The 14,451-nt window shown below is 39.3% G+C and overlaps 1 protein-coding gene across 7 annotated transcripts in view, besides 3 other annotated features; it reads right to left on the bottom strand.

Moving 5' to 3' along the window:
* MAP3K13 (mitogen-activated protein kinase kinase kinase 13) overlaps positions 1 to 14,451 on the bottom strand; it is a 206,134-nt gene that overhangs the window by 124,916 nt on the left and 66,767 nt on the right. Inside the window, exon 1 of one of the 7 annotated variants that reach the window (NM_004721.5) lies at positions 811 to 1,043. The exons of the other annotated variants lie outside the window; for them this stretch is intronic. The gene's annotated coding sequence lies outside the window, so the exon portion shown is untranslated. Of the gene's footprint in view, positions 1 to 810; positions 1,044 to 14,451 lie in introns of those variants that run through there. 7 annotated transcript variants of the gene reach the window in all.
* Positions 352 to 411: an enhancer, noted in NCBI's record as "active region_20924". NCBI's record gives its function as "activates an Ori minimal core promoter by ATAC-STARR-seq in GM12878 lymphoblastoid cells {active_cell/tissue: GM12878}" and the evidence as "EXISTENCE:reporter gene assay evidence [ECO:0000049][PMID:35858748]".
* Positions 502 to 591: an enhancer, noted in NCBI's record as "active region_20923". NCBI's record gives its function as "activates an Ori minimal core promoter by ATAC-STARR-seq in GM12878 lymphoblastoid cells {active_cell/tissue: GM12878}" and the evidence as "EXISTENCE:reporter gene assay evidence [ECO:0000049][PMID:35858748]".
* Positions 1,062 to 1,211: a silencer, noted in NCBI's record as "silent region_14974". NCBI's record gives its function as "represses an Ori minimal core promoter by ATAC-STARR-seq in GM12878 lymphoblastoid cells {active_cell/tissue: GM12878}" and the evidence as "EXISTENCE:reporter gene assay evidence [ECO:0000049][PMID:35858748]".

The raw sequence follows: 14,451 nt of genomic DNA, 5'->3' as shown, positions 1-14,451 counted from the left end.
TTCCATGTTTCCCCAACACAGTGGAATAAACTATTTTCAGCTAATAAGTTCATCTTAGGAAAACACTCATGTGCATTTCTATGCAATATAATTGTGGAACATTGTAACCACTTCTTAGTTTTCATTAGAGGATATTGAAAAACCCAAGTTTAAGGATAATTCCCCCTTTCCCTCGAATGCAGCTTTTTAAGTTTTTGACACTATAAAGTGTAGAGAGTGACATAAAGAAGAGCTATGAATATATATAAATACACCACTATGGCTCCCGTCATAAGAGCTTTTGAAAAATGGTTGAACAAGTATTCATCTTCACCAAATTGCAATCGCAAGATACTGACTGTTACACAATATGAAACAAAGGCAAGGTGAAGGGTGAGGAACGGCAGAAAGGACGGTCGCAAGGAAGACAAGTGCCCCACAGGATAGAACCTGCTCTGTCTTGCGGGCCCCGCTTTTCTCAGCACCTTTCTGGTGTTCTGGGCTTTTCTGCTAATACCATCCACATCATCTCTCAGAGAAATGAATCTCCCTTTAAGGAAAGCCAAGCAGGCATCCGAGGTAACGTGCAGAACCGTAAATGAAAAATGTCCACGTCTAGCAGGCAGACAAGCAAAGGAAAACCAGCTGTCAGTTTCAGAGGCTCCTAGCTGTAACGGGGTTTCGGGTTTCTCTCCGCCTCTGTCTCTCTGTCTCTCTCACGGTGTCGCCCTCAATAATATCAGCTTTCTAATCACCTCAAATCACACATTCTCTGTCTGTCCTTGTGAAATAAATACTGAAGAAACAGGAAAAACAGAGTGCAATACTCACAACAACGAAGAATTCCTACACATGCTGTTCCATTTTCTTGCTTTGAAAAGATGTAAGGTGAATTTTAAAAGCCTTGCAGAATTGGAAAAATAAAGGGGAGGGGGATTCCACCCACACAATCCTCCAGCCCACCGCAAAGGAGCCCAAAGGCTTGCTGACGTCACAGATTCATGAATGGATGTAAATTGGGCTGGTTTAGGATTCCGCACAGACTTCGCTGTGGTGTGTGTCATGAAAAAAAAAAGAGGGGCGGGTCCAGAGTAGGCCCAGCCAATAGGCTTCAGGCAGACATGGCCTTCCTTCTTTTAGAAGGAATCTGGTCACAGAATAAACAGAGCCCGCCAATCAGGCATCTGCCACTGCCTTAAGACAGACTGGCAGCTTGAGTGTGTGTGTGTGTGTGTGTGTGTGCGTGTGTGTGTGTGTGTGTGTGTGTGTTTCAAGCTGTGATAGTCATAAAAACATTATTATTGTTATTGAATGAAGGAATCAAAATAGAATTTCTGTGGAATCAAGGATAACAAAAATGCATATAGAAGAAATCCCATCTTTTATTCATTAGAACTCTTTTCTTCAACCCTTTTCTTACTGTTCAGCAATATGCCTGATGCGATCAAAACAAATCAAAGTCAGGAAAACCATTTCTAAAACTAGCAGACTAGTGGACATGTATGCCCTGCTCACCACGACTTGTAAAAGCAAAATTGTCGGGACTTGTAAAAGCAAAATTGTCGGGAAGAACGCATGGGAACAATAATCTAGTAACTAAGAAAACAGACATATGGAAAATAATATTACACGAATGTAGCTGTTTTGCACAGCAGTAACATCTTGCTGACCTTCATGATGTATCAAAAGTGGATATGGAAGAAAAATTTACTGCTACTTTTAAGTAGGGTACAGTGTTTCCTCATTGGTTTATTCAACTTCTGGCAGTCGATTAAGACACAGCTCCAAAAGGGCACTTAATGAAACTTTGAACAAATTTTGGTTTCAGTAAGATGTTTTATTATTAACAGCAAAAACAGCTGTATTAAATTCACTCAAGAGGCATCTCTTTCTTCTTTATTTTTACACTTTTCAGTTATACAAAATTGGAGATGAATATATTTATTGTCCCTACTCCCCATCACTACACTTCACAATGACTAATACTTGACAAATACTGATCATGATTTTTCTGAACTTGGGAAATGGCCTCAATCCTTGAAACTAGAACGATCGTGGTTAATATAAAGCCTCAGTTATGAGGTGTCCAGTGACCAAGAACATTCTGAACAGAGATCTGCTCTATTTCTCAATCAGATTATTTATACAACTGTGAGAGAAGGAAAGTGGTGGCCTGTTTCTAAGTGGTTCTGGAGGGTCTAAACCTGACCACTAGTAAGTATTGCACACTTCTTAGCTCATTTGGAAAAGGAAAACTTTTCAGGATAATTTTACACACAGCAAAGATATTCAGTGTACTGTCTATATTGAAGCAATAGAATATCGTTGGCAAACAACATAGTTAACAAACTTCTCTAAAGGAGCTTATTGTGGAATATCACTACAAAAAAGATAGACCAAAGAAGTTTACACATGTAACATGGGAGTGCTCAAGGCAAATACGGCATTGGTACACGCCCAGTAGGCCTCAGTGTACCACATTATTTAAGAACGAACATGCAAGGCACGGTGGCTCATGCCTGTAATCCCAACACTTTGGGAGGCCAAGGTGGGCGGATCACGAGGTCAGGGATCGAGACCATCCTGGCTAACATGGTGAAACCCCGTCTCTACTAAAAATACAAAAACAAAATTAGCCGGGCGTGATGGTGGGCGCCTGTAGCCCCAGCTACTCGGGAGGCTGAGGCAGGAGAATGGCGTGAACCCGGGAGGCGGAGCTTGCAGTGAGCCGAGATCTTGCCACTGCACTCCAGCCTGGGTGACAGAGCAAGACTCCGTCTCAAAGAAAAAAGAAAAAAAAAAAACAAAAAACGAACAAATGGAAAGCTGAAGAATATACATCTCTATTTAACAACAACCAAAGCCAATCAGGATACATTAAAAGAATCAGATTTATGGAAAACATTTTTTTCTTCCAAAACAATACAGACTAACTAATGGAAAGAGGCAAACTTTTTGTGGACTATGTCAATAAAATAGCCAAGAAACATCAATTTGTGTGTGTGTGTATATATATATATAATATATACACACACATATAAAATCTGTATATATGTATATGTATATATGTGTGTATACACACACACACACACACACACACATATATATATATACACATACACATATACATATAAAATCTGAGGTCAGGAGTTTGAGACAAGCCTGGCCAACATGGTGAAACCCCATCTCTACTAAAAATACAAAAATTAGCTGGGCATGGTGGCACACATCTGTAATCCCAGCTACTCGGGAAGCTGAGGCATGAGAATCGCTTGAATCTGGGAGGCAGAGGTTGCAGTGAGCTGAGATCACACCACTGCACTCCAGCCTGGTGACAGAGTGAGACTCCCTCTCTCAAAAAAAAAAAAAAAAAAAAAAAAAGCTAAAGCTGTTGTAGAAGTTTTTCTGTAAGTTTTGACAGCAACAAAATTACTAATAAGTCCACTATGGATGGGAGTAGTCTCTGAAGCAATTCAACAAAACAGGGTCTATAAATGCTTCTAATAACAGTCACCTAAGATTCTTGGCTCAATATATAACCTGGAAAATAAAAACTTGGGGGCTTTATGGACTTGCCACTTCAGTAAGATGATAAACTTGGCCTCAGTTAGCATGCTTCCTGTACCACAGGAACATCAGCTAGGCCAACAAAGACTCCTCCATGTCAACTATCATGGGAAATCATTGGAAAGATAAGCTGTCTCACCAAATTATGGAAGATATAGAAGTCAGTCTTGGAGGAAGTCATTATCATTTTAGAAGCAGAAGGTAGGAAGGGATATAGAGGCATGAAAAATGTACACTCTAGAGAAGTACAGCCCAAGAGAACTTGCTGTGATTATGGAGCATTCCATAGATTTGAAAGATGGCTAGTGTTCTTGAGGAAGTGAATTTTTAATGTAAAGTGATTTAAATTTATTTAACTCCAAAATAGTCACATTTAGCTGGTGGCTATGGTATGCAACAATGCAACTCTAGAGATATCAAGCCAAGTCCCATCATTATAAGTAATTTTTAATTGCAGCACATGGGCATACTAAGTGTGGAGGACTGCAAAGCCATTATCAAGGTGAGTAAGCTCTTTTAAGAACCAAATGAATCTCCTCAAACTTCAGTAATAACTGGAAAATGACTCTAGTCTCATTATGCAAGAAGATATTTAAAACTCATTATTAGATAAAAATCTATATATAGAAATTAAGGTACAATAATTCTGCTATAAAATATAAGCTATTCTTGTTTTGGAGTTTTTTTTTTTTGAGGAAAAAAATGTGTTTTTAAAAAAGGAAAACAACTCATTTAAGCCAGAATCGAAGTCCAAAGTATCATGACCCATGGGCAATTTTTGTCAGAAATACCAGGAAAAAGAAAGAGTTTAGTGATCTCAAATGCTAATACGTGGAGACTCAAATTTCCTTCACAGATAAGTGTGTAGTGGTTAAAAGCTGGTAAAGAGATCTGGGCTCAAATCCTATTTCTGCCACTTATTAGTTATGAATATTCAGGTAAACCTGAGTTTCAGTTTTCTCATTATTAGAATGGGGATTATAATAGCCTATATTATTGTGTGAAGGTTAAAGTAATATTATAACACATGTAAAGATTTGCACACAGTACCTACATACAGAAGTTACTCAGTAAATGATACTGGTAGCTGGTTTTATTTTGTTATTGAGACCCTGCTACTCTCTCAACAAGGGAAATTTCAACAACTGTGCAGATCCAGGAATCAGAACCACAGGAACTAATACAACATCTTTATTTTGCTTATAATAAATCTTGAACAGATCTGATATGGTTTGGCTCTGTGTCCCCACCCAAATCTCATCTTGAATTGTAATCCCATAATCCCCATGTGTTGTGGGAGGGATCTGGTGGGGGGTAATTGAATCATGGGGGCAGTTCCTCCATACTGTTCTCATGGTAGTGAATAGGTCTCACAAGATCTGATGGTTTTATCAGGGGTTTCCACTTTTGCATCTTCCTCACTCTCTCTTTGCCTGCTGCCGTCCGTGTAAGATATAACTTGCTCTTCCTTGCCTTCCACCATAATTGCGAGGTTTCCCCAGCCATGTGGAACTGTAAGTCCAATTAAACCTCTTTCTTTTGTAAATTGCCCAGTCTCAGGTACGTTTTTATCATCAGCGTGAAAACAGACTAATACAAAATCTTTTCAGGAAATTCTAAAAATATCTATTAGTGACCCAACTTCCAAAGGGAAGTTCATCCAAGTCATTTTCCTTCAGGTGGTTGGGGAATATCTTTGGGGTTCTGAAACAGATCAGGGGAACCTTCAGGTAGTTATGCTAGCTGATCAAGAGCTCTATTCATTGTTTTTAAAAAGCAGCTACATTTTTCTACATAAAGATGTAGTTTGTATAAAATGATGTGAATTAATCTGGAAAACAATCTGTCTCCTAGTTGGGAATACTGGTCAGAATTCTCCACTTTCATATCAGAATGTTAACCCTATTTCCACTCCAAAGTATATGGAGCCTTGGTCAATAACTGAATTTCAATATTCAAAGACCTCAGCAGATTATTATTAATACTGCCATTTTTCTCTGTCCAGCTCCCATTAAATGCCTATCTGAGAAAGTGATTTTTAAGAAACATCTAAGGAAAAACATTCTTATAAGTTCACTCAAATCTATCCTTGTGTCAAGGGAGATCATCAGAAAGCTACATGCTATCTAAATATCATTAGCCTAATACCCCTTAGAAGAATAACTATCATTGAGTGTTGTGGTCTTGCTTTTATTAAAAATTATTATAAGGAAGATTCATATTGCTTCTGTGTTGTCCATTATCTTGAATGATATCTCCCATGTAAGGAATTCACATGGAGAATTTGTTTTACAACTTAATATGAAGGAAAAATTTTCTGTTCTTGAAGAATTATTAGGTGTCTGTCTACCTTTTAGATGATAACAGTGTAATCCACTGAATTTTCATTTTTTCGACCCTGCTGCTGGGAAGCTCAGAGCCAACTTTAAAATTCATATGCTTTAAAATAAGCTAAGCACAAAAGTATATATTTACATGCATACTTGCTTTCTCTTCCTTGTTTTGGGTTGGATTACTCTATGGTTAACCTTATTATATACATTCTTTTTTATGATAAGCACTTCAAACACTTTTTGAAAAGGTATGCTATAAATAAAAATTTGCACTAAATACATATCTGTAAACTTTTAAGAAGATTAAAGCCTCATGTTAAATTCTACAGTCATCTTTATATTAAAGGTACACATTATGGCAAACTTTAAAGAATATTGTGAGTTAATTAGACTTAACTATTCAATATTTTTAATTAAAGGATAATAAAATATCTAGCCAGCTGGAGAAAAGCAATTGCTTGAGATTTTATGTGCTATTCAGAATAAGTCTTAACAGCTTAATGAAGCTTTAATGTGTTATTCCTGTCAAAAGGATGATTACCAATGAGGGATATAAGATTCTTCTCTGACTGATAACACAAATGTACTGAAGCAAATCAAAAGCAGATGGATTTCTCAATTAATAAAATATTTACCATCCCCAAAATACACCATTCCATAACATACAAATTCTGGCAAAATACCATAAACCAAACCTTTGCAGGATTAAAAATAATATACTGAGTTTGCAAAGGTACTTTATACACTGAAAGAGCAAAAGAAGACTTTATAGATTACTTTACTCATCCACATAGAATTCATACTACTTTCTTTCTTTCTTTTTCTTTTTTTCTTTTTTTTTTTTTTTTTTTTAGATGGAGTTTCACTCTTGTTGCCCAGGCTGGAGTGCAATGGCGCGATCTTGGCTCACCGTAACCTCCGCCTCCCGGGTTCAAGCAATTCTCCTGCCTCAGCCTCCTGAGTAGCTGAGATTACAGGCGCCCGCCACCACATGCAGCTAATTTTTTTTGTATTTTTAGTTGAGATGGGGTGTCACCATTTTGGCCAGGCTGGTCTTAAACTCCTGACCTCAGGTGATCCGCCCGCCTCGGCCTCCCAAAGTGCTGGGATTACGGGCGTGAGCCACTGCACCCGGCCTAGAATTCATAATACTTTCTTAGAGCTCATGTAAAAAGAGAGAGAGAGAGAGAAAAAAAAAAAACTTCTTAACTCTCTAACTTCTATTCTTTGATTCTGTTTTAATTTCTCCCCTTCTTTAGCTAGACACAAGTTGGCATTTCCACTGTAGCCACACATTGCATGCAATATAATTAAAGACCAAAACATCAGAGTAGTGGATATCTGCCTTTTAAAGTCGGGCGGCAGAGCGAGACTCCGTCTCAATACATAAATACATACATACATACATACATACATACATACATACATACATACATGAAGTCTGCCTCTGTATCATCCCCATTTGAAGGAAATATCTCTCCCCCACTTTTAGTCCATATGGTTCAGATAGGGATGACCCCATCTGAAGCGAGTGCTCCAAGAGTGAGCACGTGGCACAAGGATGGCCAACTCAACTCCCTGGTCGTAATAATTAGTGAAAGGATAGACACATCCTCCAAGCCAGCCAATAAGCATAATCTGAGTCATCCCCAGGATGTTTGACAACTATTGGCTGGGTGGGGGCTGAACATTTGTTTCATCAGGATACTAGCTGTAAGGACAAGTAGGCAGAGGGCTGTCGTCTCCATCCATATATCGGGCAGAGGAAAGCAGACCAGAGATAAAGGAAAGAAGACAGATTCCTGAAAAAGGCCACTGGACATCTAACTTCAGTCTTGTCTGAAGCCAGTTACTCTGCTGGACCTCCCAATTACATAAGCCAATCAATCCCTCCCTCCTTACTCCCTTTAAAAAACACACAAACAAACAAGTTTGATAAAGGTTTCTGTCACTTGCAGCCAAAAGAGTACTTATTAACACAATGTCATTAATTGATTCTCTTTCATCCTATTCAAGAAAACCAAATTAAAATCAGATTCCCTGTACTATAGAATTCCTTTTCTGACATTAATAATTTCAATATATTGGTAGACTAACTTTCAAATTCTGTCTTCTAACTCTCACATGGTGTTTACACTTTATTATTATTATCTTTGTCACCATCAAAAGTTCGACATTTTAAAGACCCAGTATTTCCTCTCAATAGCAAGCTGTATCTTTGATATTTTGAAGTCAGTGACCTTCACAGAAATCTTTTTACCGTTTATCTCAATTCATCCAGGCTTTAAGATACATTAATTCTGAAGCCCTGGGCAAGGTTACTTAAATGTTCACTTAAATGACTCACTGTAAAATGGAAGTAATTACAGGTATAGCACAGCACCTCAGCATGGTAAACAATGTTAGTTATGTTACTCAATAACCTCATAATCAAAACTATAACTAAACATATTTTATATTTCTGAATTTCATGCATTTTCTCTTAGGTTATTCTTATTCTGTGGTTGACAGATTATAACTTTGAATCTCTTAATTTTTTTTTCTATTTCTCTCTATTCAAAGGTTATAAAAGTGTATTTTTCCTGTGACCTATCCTTTTTCTGACCTTCATTTTAAAGTCAATTCTGAGTTCTCTTTGCTTTTTGTTTGTTTGGTTGGTTTTTTTGAGACGGAGTCTCACTCTGTCGTCCAGGCTGGAGTACAGCAGCGTGATCTCAGCTCACTGAAACCTCTGCCTCCTAGGTTCAAGTGATTCTCCTGCCTCAGCCTTCTGAGTAGCTGGGGATTTCAGGTGTACGCCACTATGTCCGGCTAATTTTTTTTTTTTTTTTTTGAGACAGAGTTTCGCTCTGACACCCAGGCTGGAGTGCAGTGGCACGATCTTGGCTCACTGCAACCTCCGCCTCTCGGGTTCAAGTGATTCTCCTGCCTCAGCCTCTGGAGTAGCTGGGATTACAGGCACGCACCACCATGCCAGGCTAATTTTTGTATTTTTAGTAGAGATGGGTTTTCGCCATGTTGGCCAGTCTCAAACTCCTGACCTCAAGTGATCTGCCCGCCTCAGCCTCCCAAAGTGCTGGGATTACAGGCATGAACCACCGTGCCCGGCCTTAATGTATCTTCATTATATTACACTCTTTTGGAGTTTCAGATATCTAAATTCCAGAAATAATAATTGGGAGCAAATCTGGTCCTAGACATTCTTTGTAAACGATCTTATACTGCACTTTACAGTTTACAACTTTCTTTAAAATAGGGTAGTTGTTGGTTCCATTTTACTTGTGAGAAAATTAGGGCCCCGGGAAGATTGGCTCGTCTAATATAGCTTTTATCTAAACTCTGTTATCTATTGAAACTGACTATACTTTTAAATTCTATCCATTACCTGTTAACCCTCCCCCTTTAAAGACCTGTTTTTCATCATCCAATGAGTAAAATTAAGGATAAATTTTTAAGAAGTAGCAATGCAAAGATTAAAAAGCCAGTTTCTAAGTATCAAGGAGCTTTGGTGAGATGAGTAACAATACAAAATGGTGTAGATGTTAAATTAGTGGGGTAGACAGGAATGTTTTACTTGAATTTGGGATACAATACTAGAAGAAAGGTAACTGAAATTTGGGGGCAAGAATAGACTTCCTTGAATGGGACCATCCTACACACAGCAACACATTTAGTACCCTGCCCCCCCCCCATACTTATAACAGTCCCAGTGTTGTTCTTGAGGCTCTTGATGAGCTCTACTTGAGGCATCTTTATTCTTGTCACATTTGTCTCCAGGGCACTTAGATGTTTCCCTAAGGGACAGGACATATCTATCTGCTAAGGGTCTGCTCCTACCTCTCTATGTCAACAGAGGGCAGCGGAGAGCATCACCCGGTAGCCTAACCTATAGGCTTCAAACGGGGGCAATGCGTACACTCCCCAGGCATTTGCTTCCCTAGGCACTTGGATTGCCGTTGCCCCGGTTTGAAGCCTACAGGTTAGGCTACCGGGTGATGCTCTCTGCTGCCCTCTGTTGACACAGAGAGGTAGGAGCAGACCCTTAGCAGATAGATATGTCCTGTCCCTTAGGGAAACATCTAAGTCCCCTGGAGACAAATATGACAAGAACAAAGATGCCCCAAGTTGAGGCTCATCAAGAGCTCTGGGAATGTGAAGTGAGGCTGAGTCAAGGCCAAGAGCCGCTCTTCCTAGACCAGATGATAGCCGATACTTACGATTTACTTATCTTTGGCAAGTTGGCACGCTTGTGAAGGGAATAAAGGCTTGTCCTTACACAAACACAGCCTGGTCTAATGCTGCAGTTTGCTCTACTAGTCCCAGTCTGCACTGCCACCCTCTTACCCAGAGCTTGAATTAAGTCTTTCTTCTCTTTGATGGAATGACCATTTGGGGTTGGCGGGGGCGGGGTGTGGTTATGGTCAGTTTCAACAAGGAGGTAGACCTTGAAGGGGAAGGATTTGGGGAAACTGGATATGAGAGAGCAGGGACAATTCCCCCAAGGTCCATATCAAATGTAAAACTGGTAAGGCATACATTAGTACTTTTCATTCTAATATAAGATTACAGTGTGTGAGTACAGCAAGTGAAGAACTAGAAGTCAAAGATGATAAGATATTAACACTGAATCAGTAAATTGTGAAGTCAGTTTTAAAATGAGCCTTATATGACCATCCATAAACAGGTCCATACTATGTAGAGTCATACTGTTAAGTCAAGTTTAGCCTAAAGCTGCCTCCTTATGTATTTAAGTTTGGCCTAAAGATTTTTCTGTATATTGTAAACTGTAACAAGTAGAGGTGTAAACCGACCGTAGCCCACACCTATGCCAATCACTGGGTTTTGGCCAATCAAATGTAGCCAACTGTTCGAACCATGTTCAAATAAGGCAAATACTGAGCTGGAACCAACCCAGCTGTTTCTGCCCCTCGCTTCCGTTTTCTGTACTGTCACTTTCCTTTTGCTGTCCATAAATCCTCTTCCATCCCATGGCTGTGCTGGAGTCTCTCTGAATCTGCTGTGATTCTGGGGGCTGCCAAGTTCACAAATTGTTCATTGCTCAATTAAACTCCTTTAAATTTAATTTGGCTGAAGTTTTTAACAATACCCAGCACTATAGTCATCTCTTTACTATAAACACTGATGAAGGGGACAGAGGGGGAAGGACTCAAAAATCTTTCAGGGAAAAACTCTGTTTTAAAGTGTACTCATGAATGTAATTATACGTTATGTCCAGGAAATACACTTACAATTAAATAATGAAGCCGCATTGGAAAGCTCTTGGTTTTCCATTACGTGTAATTGTACTACCTCAAGATAGGATAGTAATATCTTTACCTCAAGTAGTAAAAGATAGTAGTTGCTACTAGCAGCAACCTGCCCTGAATCAATCAATTTATATTGTATTTTTAAACTTTTACTTCATAGGTTCCAATCCAGTCTGTTCAACTAGGTTGAGAATTAAAGCTGTACAGGTAGCATTCATTAAACAGGTAATAAGTAGATACAGGAGAATATAGGAATGAGGAAGGGGGCTGGCCATAGTGCTTTTTTAGATACTCTGAACATCAATATATAAATCAAGTATACATTTTTTTAATGCATGCCATCTATGTTCAAGATAACATATGCTGGTGTATTTACACAGAGGGATAAATCACAGAGCCTGATCTCAGCCTATTTCACTAGACAAGAAACACAATAAATAGGAAAATAAAAATTGTTTTAGTGGCTTAAAATTATAACAGAAGGTAGAGTGGTAGAGATTGTCCTCGAATATCCAATCTTTCCTCTTTCCTTTTGGTAAGAGAATCCTTGATCCCCACTCCTACTTTTTTTCTTTTTTTTTTCTTTTTTAGACAGAGTTTTGCTCTTGTTGCCCAGGGTGGAGTGCAATGGCACGATCTTGGCTCACCACAACCTCTGCCTCCTGGGTTCAAGTGATTCTCCTGACTCAGCCTCCTGAGTAGCTGGGATTACAGGCATGCACCACCACACCCGGCTAATTTTGTATTTTTAGTAGAGATGGGGTTTCTCCATGTTGGTCAGGCTGGTCTCAAACTCCCAACCTCAGGTGATCTGCCCGCCTTGGCCTCCCAAAGTGCTGGGATTACAGGAGTGAGCCACCGCGCCCGGCCCCCACTCTTACTTTTAAAGTTTTAGGTGGGTACGTGGCCACTCTGCTAAATAGTTCTGTACTTTCCTGGCTGTACACGTGACCACATGACTAAGTTCTAGTCAATGAGATGTGAGTGAGTGAGTGATGTTTGCAACTTCCGGGTCTTGTTAGAGATGAAGCTGCTGTCCTGGACTCTTTTTCCTCATTGCCACACTGAGTCAACTTGTACCATGCAGATGATGACAACACCCTAGGCAATGGCAGAACAAATAGAAGTAACCCTGGGCTTTGAATATTCTAATGAATCAAAGCTGTCTATCTGTCCTGAATTACCTGCCTGCTTTAGGGTTGCTAATGATGAGTGTTCTTCCTTTTATGAGGCACCAAATTTTTTGAGACTCTGTTACTGCTACTTACTCTACCCCACTAATATATCCTGCTACTTGGTGTTACGTGGCTATTCATTAAATGAGATAAGTAAATGATTGCTCTAGACATTCTGAGAATTAGTTACTCAGAGAACCAAGATACTGGGAGAAATCTTAAAACTCAATCTACTCTGTCTTCCTTTTTTTAACATATGAATAAATGCAAGTTCAGAGATTTGTCCATAGTCTTGGAATTCATGGCAGAGCCAGGAATTGATTACCAGTCTCCTGGGATCTTCTTTGCATGACATCATCCCATCTGTGGATAACAGTGACCACTAACACTGCCTCTTTCTTTGGCAGAGTCAGTTAACATTCACTCGGTAATCCTGGGACATAGAAAACTGTCCTCAATTCTAAAGGAAAGCCAACAAGATTTTTAAAATCACATTTTAAAAAACTTTTATTCTAGTTTCAGGCATATATGTGCAGGTTTGTTATATAGATAAATTGTGTGTCATGGGGGTTCAGTGTACAGATTATTTCATCACCCAGGTAATAAACATAGTGCCCAATAGGTAGTTTTTCAGTCTGCATCCTCCTCCCATCCTCCACCTTCAAATAGGCCCTGATGTCTATTGTCCATGTGTACTCAATGTTTAGCTCCCACTTATAAGTGAGAACACGTGGTGTTTAGTGCTCTGTTCCTGTATTAGTTCACATAGGATAATGGCCTCCAGCTCCATCCATGTTGCTGCACGGAATATTATCTCATGCTTTTTTATGGCTGTGTAGTATTCCATGGTGTACATGTACCACATTTTCTTTATCTAGTCTACGGTTGATAGGTTGATTCCACGTTTGTGCTATAGTGAAGAGTGCTATGATGATTATATGCATGTATGTGTCTTTAGGAAAGAACGATTTATTTTCCTTTGAGTGTATACAGAATAATGGGACTGCTATGTCGAATGGTAGTTCTGTTTTAAGTTCTTTGAGAAATTGCCAAACTGCTTTCCACAATGGTTGAACTAATTTACATTCCTGCCAACAGTGTATACACGTTCCCTTTTCTCTGTGACCTTGCCAGCATCTGTTATTTTTTGACTTTTTGTAATAGCCATTCTGATTGGTGTGAGATGGTATCTTATTGAAAAATCACACATTTTGTCTCAAAAGTATCTGAAATGTAACATAAGAGAAAATACTAGCATACCATATAGTATGATTAAAACAAGGATGAACAAACAAGAAACATGGACCCAAGCAATTATAGTCAGAGATCCAACAAGATATAAGTGACAATGGTCATAAAAGTGTCATAGGAAGCCAGGCGCAGTGGCTCACGCCTGTAATCCCAGCGCTTTGGGATGCCAAGGCAGGTGGATCATCTGAGGTCGTGAGTTTGAGCCCAGCCTGACCAACATGGTGAAACCCAGTCTCTACTAAAAATAAGAAAAATTAGCCAGGCATGGTAATGCATGCCTGTAATCCCAGCTACTCAGGAGGCTGAGGCAGGAGAACCGCTTGAACCCGGGAGGCGGAGGTTGCCGTGAGCCGAGATCGCGCCACTGCACTCCAGCCTGGGCAACAAGAGCAAAGCTCCATCTCAAAAAAAGAGAAAGTGTCATAGAAGCAGTTGTGATAACAGAAGTGCTTTGGAAATATAGAAAATACGATTCAAGAATCCTTGGATCAATTCATAAGTGCTCTGTTGAACCTAATAAAACATGCTAGGGTCTGGAAATATATTTTAAATTCTTATAAAAATTTCTATTTTTCTGTGGCCTGGAAAATTTTGATGCTTTAATCTTTTAAAAACCACCTCAGAAGGCTTTGGCCCCAGGGTCTCCCTTGTGCTGACTAACCAACAATAGACATTCTTTACTAGAAACCTGTCTTCTAAGCTGTGTCCTTGCTGAAGAGAAAGAGTTCCTGCCTACTGCAGTGTACGCACACAGCATGCTAAGAGCATATGAAAAGAAGGGGAGTCTTAGGGAGACATGAAAGGAAAGAGTCACCATAAAGCAGTTAACTTCATTTATTCATTCAGGAGACAGTTCAGAGCACTTGGTATGTGCTAGCA

This window comes from Homo sapiens, chromosome 3 (assembly GCF_000001405.40).
Source record: "Homo sapiens chromosome 3, GRCh38.p14 Primary Assembly".
Taxonomy (NCBI): domain Eukaryota; kingdom Metazoa; phylum Chordata; class Mammalia; order Primates; family Hominidae; genus Homo; species Homo sapiens.
The sequence above is the reverse complement of the archived record's forward strand: the minus strand, read 5'-3'. Positions and strand labels throughout refer to the sequence as shown.